Source organism: Homo sapiens, chromosome 20 (assembly GCF_000001405.40).
Source record: "Homo sapiens chromosome 20, GRCh38.p14 Primary Assembly".
In the NCBI taxonomy this organism is placed as follows: domain Eukaryota; kingdom Metazoa; phylum Chordata; class Mammalia; order Primates; family Hominidae; genus Homo; species Homo sapiens.
In genome coordinates, this window is record NC_000020.11 from 34,641,172 (window position 1) to 34,654,071 (window position 12,900).

At 41.7% G+C, this 12,900-nt stretch overlaps 1 protein-coding gene across 2 annotated transcripts in view; it reads right to left on the reverse strand.

The window, feature by feature from the left end:
• The window catches only part of PIGU (phosphatidylinositol glycan anchor biosynthesis class U), a 116,551-nt gene that overhangs the window by 80,630 nt on the left and 23,021 nt on the right, over window positions 1-12,900 (reverse strand). For both annotated transcript variants that reach the window (XM_017027664.2, NM_080476.5), the window contains exons 3-4: window positions 4,104-4,163; window positions 2,993-3,055 (exon numbers count right to left, since the gene is read on the reverse strand). In XM_017027664.2, the coding sequence (XP_016883153.1) occupies window positions 2,993-3,055; window positions 4,104-4,163 (123 nt within the window). The remainder of the gene's footprint in view (window positions 1-2,992; window positions 3,056-4,103; window positions 4,164-12,900) is intronic.

Here is a 12,900-nt window from a genome sequence, read left to right on the forward strand (position 1 = left end):
CTCCCAAAGTGTTGGGATTACAGGCGTGAGCCACAGCGCCCGGCTATAAAGGGCTTTTTCTAATCATTGAAGCTGCATCTACGTTCATTTGCATCCCCAAAAACTATGGTGGGGTCGGGGAGAGGAAACACTCCACCCCTGTCCCTACTCCTCTCCAACTGTTAGCCTCAGCACATTCCAAATTCAGGAGCCTAGCCTCCAAATTTACAACCCTCTAATCATATTAAGGGGACACAGGTTTTTATCATCCATTATCAAACCACCTGCAGCTCTCTTAACATAAATTCTGAGTTCCAAACAAGAAGCACCATCTCAGCAAAGGACAGACTAGACTAACATTGTTTTTGTCAAGTGAGATAGATGTAAAATGTCATGATAACCAACTGGTCACCATCAGCATTCAGTCCGCAGGCTAACAGCTGGAGAGGGGGTGGGGGTGCAGTCCCCTCTCTGCCCTATAGTTCTCCCAGATGCATCTGTGTGTAGACATAGTTTCATTACCAAGGATAAAAAGACTCAAATCCCACCAAGATTTAAATACTTCCCAGACTATGCGATATGAACCCTTCTGACAAAGGGAAGAAGATTTAGAGGAAGACATGCTGCTATCCTACCTAAATCAACAGTAGTATGTTAGTATCATCAAAATCTGCCATTTAAAATGAGTTAATTTTTGACAGAGCATACATAAAACTTCTATTCTGATGAAGAAACCTAATGTTCTAATAGTCTGAACTCTAAAAGTGGAAAAACAAAAACATTCCAAATTTTACTTCAGTCTTGGTAATAACAGAATGTCTTGGTGCACTAAAAACCAGGGTATTGACAACACCGTTTGGCTTTCTCTCTCCCTCTTTAAATCATGCAAAGAAAAAAACCCAAAAATCTCTATATATTTCCAAATAAACTCAGCAATAACAAACAAATTATTGGTGCTCTAAATTAAAGGCATCTCTCCTGTTGACATTGAAGCCTGACTTTGTTAGGCAATTAACTGAAACCTAGTTTCATTGCTTCCTCATAAACTAACCCTACCATTAAAAACTGTTTTGTTTTGAGACAGTGTTTCACTCTGTCACTCAGGCGGGAGTGCAGTGGCATGACCACAGCTCACTGCAGCCTTGACCTCCCATGCTCAAGCCATCCACCTGTCTCAGTCTCCAGAGTAGCTGGGCCTACAGGCACATACCACCACTCCTGGCTAATTTTTTAAAGAATTTTTTGTAGAGACAGGGTCCCACTATATTGCCCAGGCTGGTCTTAAGCAAAAAATTGTTTTAACTAGGGAGTGTGAGAGGTTTTTTGATGAGAATTGAGCAGGAAAAAAAAAATACATATGGCATTAGCATCTAATCAACTTTCATTAAAACACAGTTCAGTTTTACATTTTGGTTATAAAGATCTGGGTAATTGTGGTCTTAGATGAAAGCTACCAATCCTGCCTCAGCTATTCATATCTATATCACACATATATATATCTCATATATATATATATATATATATATGCACACACACATATCTCATATATATATATATATATATGCACACACACAAGTTTATTTTTTCCCTAGTCTTTTTTTTTTTTTTTTTTTTGGAGATTCACTTTCAAAAAGTTTCACTCTGTTGCCCAGGCTGGAGTACAGTGGCGCGATCTTGGCTCACTCCAATCTCCACCACCTGGGTTCAATTGATTCTTATGCCTCAGCCTCCCAAGTAGGTGGGATTACAGGTGCACACCATCACACTTGGCTAATTTTTGTATTATTGGTAGAGACTGTCTACCTACCCAACCTATTTCGGAGAAGAGAACAGTCACTGCTAATTTATATCTGAATTCCTCAGCTTATGAAACCCATGCCCAATTATTTCATCTACGGCCCTCAAGAGAATCCTGTTAAAGCATTTCATCTCAGCCCCTAAAGTTTTCAAGATATGCTCCATTAGTTTAAGATATATACTCCCTGGTCTTGGTGATACTAAGTCCCTAAAATATAGTTCTTAATTTTAGAGGAAGAGTCAAAGACCACACACCAATAACAGCTATGAACTCTTGGAAACAATGATATACACACACACACATATAATTCTCCATACCATTTCCACAGTTTTATAGGCCCATTAAGGCCAAGTTAAGAACCCTCAGTCTAGATATTTTTTAAAATCTCTCTGGGGTCTAAAATTCTAGAATTCACCAGCTTCATCTGTCACTGATGACCAGTGACACAGAAAGCACACTGCTATTTCTGGTTTCATTAGTAACAAAAGCTAAAATGAACCACAAACAGACAATGCCAATGAGATGCAGCCTTATTTCACCCCAGCCTAAATCTTCTCTCTCAGTGGCTCCCAGCCAATCAAGGAGTGTTGTAGCCATTTAACTACATGGGTAGTACACATGGTTAATCTGTTAACTTTCTCAGACCCCAGGAAAAGAAGAATGGTCCCACTATGCAATTCTCCTTGGCTATTACATATGGATTAAGACTGAAGTTTATATCAGGCATTTAATACATGTCAAATTTTCCAATTAAGATTACTTTCTGCAGGGAGACAGAAATGACATTGAGAATCCAATTTTACCTCAGATAGGCATAACAGTGACTTAAAAGCTGTATTTATCTTCCTATGCAAAAAAAAAAAAAAAAAAAAAAGACTGGTGAAAGACTAGAAGATTTTTAAGGGTCCTCATTAACGACAGGTAATATAACTGTTATTCAGCACTACTCCAGAAGTCTGAACTTGCACAGGTATGTGGATATTAATAGTTATTAATAAGCTACATAGATGAAGCTGGCCCTTCTTTATCTGTTAGTAAAGCTGTCTTGTGGGTTTGGGGTTGATCATTCCAGAGCTGGCTGAACAGGCCAGAAGTTTCACCATCACTTCCTAGCACTTTAAAGCATCTGGATCCTTAAGTATAAGATCTTTGTAATAACAAAGACCAGAAGGTTACCAAATTCCACCAGCTTTGCTCCACCCACAAACTACTTACCACAACTTTATTGAAGTCCTGGATTGCAAAATACAGGGCAATAGCAGTGAGTGCATCAGTTATCTGTCAAAAGAAAGAGAAATAATAGGAAATGGAACACAGTAAGTGTAAGAGTACTAGAGTGCTACCAGGGCTTGGAGTTTTGAGATAGTGATGGACTACCAAGTACTGGACTCTTACAATCAGGTAGAACTTCAACCCTCACTTTGACTACCCAAAGATAAGGCCCATTCAGGCAGGGTGAACTGGAAATCCCTGAGGATCAGGACCCATCTAGGTTCACTTCAGTTTAGTGGCCCATATCTGCTCTAGAATTGCAAGATACTTATGTTTTTTGTAAAATGGAAATAATACCCACTGCTTTGCATGCCTGATGTATGTCAAGTGCCTAGCACACAGTAGGTCCTCAATAAATAGAGTTTGTTATAATTACTAAGGAAGACCTCAGTGGGCTTCCTGGGTATTTCTTGACTCAAATTTTCAATCCCAGACAAGTGTTTCAAATTGCTATGCTCTCAAAACATAGACCTGTCATCCCAATTCTGAAGCTTCTCGCCCCTGAAAGCCTCAAACCTGTGTCCTCTTCTTCCATAATGACTCACAGAATCTCTTGGCAAAATGCTTAGGACAAATTCAGAATGCCCTCCACGCCGGCTTCACAATTAAAGCCAATCATAGAATCTCAGAGCTAGAAAATTCAAGACTATATATAGTCCAGAAACCAAATTCTAAAAAGAGTAAGTATTTGGAACTGGTTACACATCAGAAACTATTCCTCACACTTCCATAATACTGCCACAGTTCCATGAATTCAAAGTAAAGACATAAGTTTTTGCTTTTATTTTCTGAGAAACTCCTGAGTTCCTATGTTTTTTGTTTTTTGTTTTTTTCTTAAACACAAGATGACAAGCCGGGCACTGTGTCATGTGTCCATAGTCCCAGCAGCTGAGGAGGCTGAAATGGGAGGACCACTTAAGTCCAGGAGTCCAAGACCAGCCTGGGCAACACAGTGAGACCCCATCTCAAAAAAAAAAAAAAAAGAGAGAGAGAGACAATAAACCATAAAATTTAAAAATATATACATATCAATTTTATATGGAAGGTTACTTACCATAAACACCAATTCAGCATAGTCAATTAGGAAATGAAAGAGGTATATTATTAATGGAGTCTGCAGAAAAAAAACAGACATGTAAAAAAAATTAAGTTAAACCTTACTATTATCAGTTTCCAGAGTAGAGAGTGGGGAGAAAACTATTATGTCAGCAAACTATTATGCTAGTATTCTCCTTCCTGGAATACTGTTCTACGCCAGCTGGCCGGTGTGCTTATAGGGGAGAATAATTTAGTACTGCCGGACCATTTTGTGCTGCTGGGACTATCTGTTGAATTGAGTAAAGGAAATAAAATCTGATGTGTTAAATAACCATTAAAGAATAGTCAACACACTGGCCAGGTGCGGTGGCTCACGCCTGTAATCCCAGCACTTTGGGAGGCTGAGGCAGGCAGATCACCAGGTCAGGAGATGGAGACCATCCTGGCTAACACGGTAAAACCCCCGTCTCTACTAAAAATACAAAAAAATTAGCCGGGCGTGGTGGCGGGCGCCTGTAGTCCCAACTACTAGGGAGGCTGAGGCAGAAGAATGGCGTGAACCCAGGAGGCAGAGCTTGTAGTGAGCCGAGATCACGCGACTGCACTCCAGCGTGGGCAACAGAGCGAGACTCTGTCTCAAAAAAAATAAATAAATAAATAAAAAATATATAGTCAAGACACTAAAGGTAAGAGGTGAATTGTAGTTCTAAGACATATATAATAGCCGAGGGGAATTCCACAACAGACCAAGATTGCTGATTCCATTTCACTCACAAAATGAGCTTCTTCTGTTCTCTGATAAGTTTGTATAATATTTTTTTCTTTATTTATTTTCTTGAGACTAGTTCAGAAAGATTAATGTTATTTCTTCCTCAAAGATTTGGGAAAATTCACTCACTGTGAAGCCATCTCTGCCTGGATTTTCTTTGAGAGATTTTAAATCACAGATTCTATTTATTTCATAGATAAAACATTCAGATTTGCTGTTTTTACTTTGTCAATTTAGGTAAGTTGTGTTTTTCCAGGAATTTGTCCATTTCATCTAAATTTTCAAGCTTACTGACAAAATTGTTCATAGTATTTCATTTTTTATTGTTTAAAGCAATAAAGTTTCCTATGAGTATGGCTTTAGCTGTATCACACGAGTTTTGATACGTTGGATTTTTTTGAGATGGAGTCTCGCTCTGTCACCCAGGCTGGAGTGCAGTGGTACGATCTTGGCTCAGAGCAACCTCCGCCTCCTGGGTTCAAGTGATTCTCCTGCCTCAGCCTCCCAAGTAGCTGGGATTACAGGCGCCTGCCACCACGCCCAGCTAATTTTTGTATTTTTAGTAGAGACTGGGTTTCACCATGTTGGCCAGGCTGGTCTGGAACTCCTAACCTCAAGTGATCCACCTGGCTCAGACTCCCGAACTGCTGGCATTACAGGCAGGAGCCACTGTGCCCAGCCATTTTCTTCAATATCATTTAGTTGAAAATATATTCTAACTTCCAGTAACATTTCTTCTTTGAGACTACTTTAAAATGTACCATGTTCAATTTCCAAATACTTAGGAGTTTTCTTTTCTTTTCTTTTTTTTTTGAGACAGACTCTCGCACTGTTGCCAGGGCTGGTGTGCAGTGGCTGGATCTCGCTTGCTGCAAGATCCTCCACCTCCAGGGTTCAGATGATTCTCCTGCCTCAGCCTCCCCAGTAGCTAGGATTACAGGTGCCTGCCACCACACCCAGCTAATTTTTTTTGTTATTTATATATTTATTTTGAGGCAGAGTTTCGCTCTTGTTGCTCATGCTGGAGTGCAATGGCACGATCTCAGCTCATCGCAACCTCCGCCTCCCGGGTTCAAGCGATTCTCCTGCCTCAGCCACCACGCTGGGCTAATTTTGTATTTTTAGTAGAGATGGGGTTTCTCCATGTTGGTCAGGCTAGTCTTGAACTCTCAACCTCAGGTGATCCACCCACCTCGGCCTCCCAAAGTGCTGAGATTACAAGTGTGAGCCACCGTGCCCGGCCGTTTTTTGTTTGTTTGAGACAGAGTCTTGCTCTGTTGCTAGAGTGCAGTGGCACAATCTCGGCTCACTGTAACCTCCACCTCCCGGGTTCAAGCGATTCTCCTGCCTCAGCCTCCCAAGTAGCTGGGATTACAGCCGCGCGCCACCACACCTGGCTAATTTTTGTATTTTTAGTACAGACGGGGTTTCACCATCTCGGCCAGGCTGGTCTCAAACTCCTGACTTTGTGATCCACCCGCCTCGGCCTCCCAAAGTGCTGGGATTACAAGCGTGAGCCACCATGCCCGGCCTAATTTTTTTTTGTATTTTTTGTATTTTTTGTATTTTTAGTTTCACTATGTTGGCCAGGCTGGTCTCGATCTCCTGACCTCATGATCTGCCTGCCTCGGCCTCCCATTCTTTTTATATTTTTATAATTTCTTTCTGGCTTAACTCTACTGTGGTAATAGAAAATACACTATATGACTGCAATCATTTAAAATGTGTTGTGACTTGCTTAACGGTCCATTATATGGTCAACTTTGGTAAGTGCTGCAGGTACATTCAAATATGCATATTAACACCTATGGTTGCATCATTCTATATATGACATGTAGGCTCAGTTTGCTAATGATTTGTTCAAATCTTCTACATCCTTATTGATTTTTTTGGTCTGTTTGTTCTTTCACTGACTGAAAGAGGTATGTTAAAAATCTCCCAGTCAGGCACAGTGGCTCATGCCTATAATCTCAGCACTTTGTGGGGCTGAGGTGGGAGGATCACTTAAGCCTAGGCATTTGAGAACAGCCTGGACAACATAGTGGAACCCTGCCTCTACAAAATATTTAAAAAATTAGCTGGGTGAGGTAGCATGCACCTGTAATCCAAGCTACTTGGGAGGCTGAGTTGGGAGAATTGCTTGAGCCCAGGGAGATTGAGGCTGCAGTGAGCCTTGTTTGTACCACCGCACTCCAGCCTGGGCAACAAAGTGAGACCCTGTCTCAAAAAAAAAAAAAAAAAAAAAATCCCCCACTGTGACTGCCATTTTTGCTTTATATATTTTGGAGCTATGTAATTAGATGCAGTTCTATGTAGAATTACTATATCTTCTGGGTGCAGTGATCTTTTTATCATTATAAAATAATCCTCTTCATCTCTAGTAAGGTTTCTTGTCTTAAAATATTCTTGATCTGATAGTATAGTTACATCAGCCTCTTTGGGCTGTCAGCATAATACAGTTTTTTCTGTCATTTTACTTTCCACCTTTCTGTGTCCTTATATGCAAAATTTTTTGTTTTTGTTTTTGGGGTTTTTTCCTGAAACAAAGTCTCACTCTGTCGGCCAGGCAGGAGTGCAGTGGCACGATCATGACTCACTGAAGCCTTGACCTCCCAGACTCAGGTGACCCCCCTACCTTACCCTCCTGAGTAGGTGAGACTACAGATGTGCGCCACCACACCCAGATAATTTTTGTATTTTTTGTAGAGACAGAGTTTTGCCATGTTGCCCAAGCTGGTCTTGAACTCCTGGGCTCAAGCAATCCGCCTGCCTCAGCCTCTCAAAGTGTTAGGATTACAGGCATGAGCCACTGCACCTGACCTAAGATGTGACTGATTGATTGACTGATTGACTGATTTAGAGATGGAGTCTCACTCTGTCCCCAGGCTGGAGTGCAGTGGCGCGATCTCAGCTCACTGCAACCTCCGCCTCCTGGGTTCAAGTAATTCTCCTGCCTCAGCCTCCCGAGTAGCTGGGACTACAGGCACGTGCCACCACACCCAGCTAATTTTTTATATTTTTAGTAGAGATGGGGTTTCACTGTCTTAGCCAGGATGGTCTCAAACTCCTGACCTCGTGATCCGCCCGCCTTGGCCTCCCGAAGTGCTGGGATTACAGGTGTGAGCCACCACGCCCGGTCTGTTTTATTTTGAACTTATGTTCAAAATTACATATGTTTTTCTTTGACCTTCTCCTACTTGGGTTTATAGAGCTTCCTGAATAAAAATCTTAGTAAATGTTGAAAAAAATTTCATCCATAATCTCCTCAAATACTGATTCTGCCTCGTTCTGTCTCTTCTCCCATTCTAGAACTCCACTGATGTATAATTTGGGCTGTTTTACTAAGTTTCAGATCTCTTACTTTTTTTTTTTTTTTCTGTGTTTTCTATCCTTTTCTCTCCAAGTTTGAATCTAGGTATTTTCAACAGACTTTATCTTCCATATTACTAATCTTCTCTTTAGCTTTGTGTAATCTGCTGCTAAATTCATCTATACATTTTTTTTTTTTTTTGAGACGGAGTCTCGCTCTGTCACCCAGGTTGAAGTGCAGTGGCGTGATCTCGGCTCACTGCAACTTCCGCCTCCCAGGTTCAAGTGCCCAGGTTCAAGCGATTCTCCCACCTCAGCCTCCCGAGTAGCTGGGATTACAGGCGTATGCCACCACGCCTGCCTAATTTTTATATTTTTAGTAGAAACAGGGTTTCACCATGTTGGCTAGGCTGGTCTTGAACTCCTGACCTTAAGTGATCTGCCCACCTTGGCCTCCCAAAGTGTTGGTATTACAGGCATGAGCCACTGTGCCCGGTCCATCTATTACATTCTTTTTTTTTTTTTTTTTTGAGACGGAGTCTCACTCTGTCACCCAGGCTGGAGTGCAGTGGCGCGATCTCGGCTCACTGCAAGCTCCGCCTCCCAGGTTCACGCCATTCTCCTGCCTCAGCCTCCCAAGTAGCAGGGACTACAGGCGCCCGCCACCATGCCTGGCTACTTTTTTGTATTTTTGGTAGAGACAGGGTTTCACCGTGTTGGCCAGGATGGTCTCAATCTCTTGACCTCGTGATCCGCCCGCCTCGGCCTCCCAAAGTGCTGGGATTACAGGCATGAGCCACCGTGCCTGGCCTTACATTTTTAATTTATTATGTTTTCTATTTCTAGAATTTCCGTTTGATTCATTTTTTACATACCCTGGTGAAATTATTCTGTTATTTATTTCTTGAACATATTAATCATTGATCATAGCTATTTTTCTTTTTTGGGAGGGGGGAAAGGGTCTCACTTTGTCACCCAGGCTGGAGGGCAACGGCACAATCTCAGCTCACTGCAACCTCCAACTCCTGGGCTCAAGCGATCCTTCCACCTCAGCCTCCCAAGTAGCTGGAACTACAGGCACACACCACCACACCCAGCTAGTTTTTGTATTTTTGGTAGATACAGGGTTTCACCATGTTGGCCAGGCTGGTTGAATTCCTGGCCTCAAGTGATCTGCCCATCTTGGCCTTCCAAAGTGCTGGGATTACAAGCGTGAGCCACTGCATCCGGCTGATCACAGCTATTTTAAAGTCCAAGTAGTTTGATAACTTCAATATCTAAATCACCTGTAAATCTGTTTTTATTGTCTATTTTTTTCTGTCTCTTATTATGCTTGGTAATTTTTTTCCTTTTCTTTTTTTCTCTTTTTTTTTTTTTTTTTTTTTTTTTTTTTTTGAGAAGGAGTCTCATTCTGTCATCCAGTCGGGAATGCGGTGGCGTGATCTTGGCTCACTGCAACCTCTGTCTCCCAGGATCAAGTGATTCTCCTGCCTCAGCCTCCCGAGTAGCTGGGACTACAGGCATGCACCACCATGCCTGGCTAATTTTTGTATTTTTAGTAGAGACAGCGTTTCACTATGTTGCTTAGGTTGGTTTTGAACTCCTGACCTCAGGTGATCCGCCAGCCTCGGCCTCCCAAAGTGCTGGGATTACAGATGTGAGCCACCATGCCCAGCCAATGGTTGGTAATTTTTTATTGAATGACAGACATTGTGTATGACAAACTACAGCAGCTTGGATGAAGGTATTTTCTTCTGGAAAAGATTTCTTTAAGCTGGTAATTACAATATAGTTGTTTCACTTTAGGGATTGAGCTAATTTGAAGCTGGATTTAGTCTTTGTAAAACTAGTCTATATTGGTCTACCCTTACTCCTAGAGTGTAGTCCTTCAGAAGTTCCAGCCTAAAGGCAAGTCCTTTACCAGAGCCTTGTCATTTTGGTTGGTCCTGCACTCCAATTTGTATTTCCCCAGCACCCTGAGACTGCCAATAGCTCTGCTTAGCTTCTTGGTCTCTAGCCAGCCAATTTCTGTTCTGCTTCTCCACCTGTGTCACTTACAAATTGGTAAATGCTTCAAGGACAAAGCAGCTCAGACTGTTCGTATTACTTTTTGTACTTTCCCCTCTGGGATCTTAATCCCTGGAGTCCTGCTTATCTTGGTACTTTCCAATGCCTTCCAGCAGATGTGGTTTTTTTTTTCCTTTTTTCATATTCATCCTGCTTTTCTAGTTGTTCGTGGCAGGTAGGTTGGTCTGCTACTGCAAGCCCGTTCACCAATCCACCAGAACCAGAAGGGAAGTGCATGACCTGGTTTTAGCGAGCCCATGCTGATGACTGAGGAGCACCTCTTCCCATCACTAAACCATATGCATGAATGTGTCCTATAACATTGAGAGGTTATTGACAGACTTTTTAGTGAGAACAAGTTAGCATGGTAGCAAGAACAAAGACTTTGGAGTCAGATTCGCATTTAAATCCAGGTTCCAGACAGCTCCGGTGGCTCACACCTGCAATCACAACACTTTAGGAGGCCGAGGTGGGAGGATCACTTGAGGCCAGGAGGTTGAGACCATCCCGGGCAACAAAGTGAGACCCCCCCCATCTCTACAAAAAAAAAATTAGCTGGGCATGGGTAGCATCTGTAGTCCCAGCTATTTGGTTTGTTTTTATTTTCGTTTTTTGAGTCATGATTTTACTCTGTTGCCTAGGCTGGGGTGCAGAGGTATAATCATGGCTCACTGCAGCTTAGACCTTCCAGGATCAAGCGATCCTCCTACCTCAGCCTCCTGAGTAACTACAACTACAGGCACATACCACCACAACCAGCTAATTTATTTTTCCCCCTGGGGGGAGAAACAGAGTCTCACTATGTTGCCCAGGCTGGTCTTAAACTCCTAGGCTCAAGCAATACTCCCACCTTGGCCTCCCAAAGTGCTAGGATTACAGACATGAGCCACCGTGCCTGGCCTCAGTTTGACAAATTTTGACCTATGTATACATCCATAAAACCATTACAGTCAAGAAAGTGAACATATCCATCATTCCCAAGTTTATCAATTTTAATGCTCATCCCAAGGAACCATCTTTGTTTCAGTGATTTTCACTATTAGTTTTGTTTTCTACCCTTTGTTTCTACTCAGATCTTTATTATTTCTTTTAATCTGCTTACTTTGAGTATAATTTTATCTTTTCCTAGTTTCTTAAGGTAGAAGCTGTGGTTATTGACTTGAGGTCTTCTTTTCTAATATAAGCATTTGGTGCTATAAGTCTCTCCCTAAGAACTACTTAGTGACATCCCACATATTTTGATGGGTTGTGTTTCATTTTCATTCATTTCAAAATACTTTCTAATTTCCTTTCTGATTTCTTCTTTGATCCATGGGTTAATTAAGAATATGTTACTCAGTTTCTAAATATTTGGGGATTCTCTAGATATCTTTCTGGTATTTTTTATTTAATTCAATTGTGGTCAGAGAATATATTTTGTATAACTTGAATCCTTCTAAACTTACTGAGCCTTGTTTTATAGACCAGAATGTGGTCTATCTTGCAAATGTTCCGTGTACATTTGAAAAAAATTATGTGTTTTGCTGTTGTTGGATGGAGTGTTCTATAAATGACAACTAGGTCAAGTTGGGTTTTTTTTTTTTTTTTGAGATGAAGTCTAGGTTTGTCGCCCAGGTTGGAGTGCAGTGGCACTATCTCCGCTCACTGCAAGCTCCGCCTCCCAGGTTCAAGCCATTCTCCTGCCTCAGCCTCCCAAGTAGCTGGGATTACAGGTGCACAACACCACACCCAGCTAATTTTTCTATTTTTAGCAGAGACGGGGTTTCACCATGTTGGTCAGGCTGGTCTCAAACTCCTGGCCTCAATCTACCCGCCTTGGCCTCCCAAAGTGCTGGGATTACAGGCGTGAGCCACCATGTCTGACCCAAGTTGGTTGTTATTCAAGTCTTTTATATCTTTGCTGATTTTATGTCTGCTTGTTCTACCAATCATTGAGAAAGGGATATTGAAATCTCTGTAATTGTGGATCTATTTCTCCTTGTAGTTCTATCAGTCTTCATATATTTTGAAGCTCTGTAATTTGATACATAAGCATTTAGTATCGCTATCTCTTTTATCATTATGAAATGTATTTTATCTCTGGTGATACCCTTGGCTCTGAAATTTGTTTCTTTTTTTTACTAACTTATTGTCTGTTTCTCTCAGAAGTATAAGCACCATGAAGCCAGGCACTGTGTCTTGTTTTGTATCCCTAACACCTAGCAGAGTAGCTGGCACTTAGTGAATATTTAACAAATCTTTACTAAAGGAAGGACAGAAGGGAGGGAAGGATTGTAATGCATATGCTGATAGAGGTAGGCACTAGGAATAAGTGATAAGAAGGGGACAGCACCTGTTTTGAAGACAATATATCATAATGAGTAAAATAAACACAGAGGCAATTTCAAGAGTGTGACATGAGCCAGGAAAAGGATAAGCATAAGATTCTTTGGAAGACTAAGGTGATGAGAGACACCTTTCTTTTTTTTTTTTGAGACGGAGTCTCGCTCTGTCACCCAGGCTGGAGTGCAGTGGCACCATCTCGGCTCACTGCAAGCTCCGCCTCCCGTGTTCACGCCATTCTCCTGCCTCAGCCTCCTGAGTAGCTGGGACTACAGCCACCTGCCACCATGCCTTGCTAATTTTTTGTATTTTTAGTAGAGACGGGGTTTCGCCATATTGGCCAGGC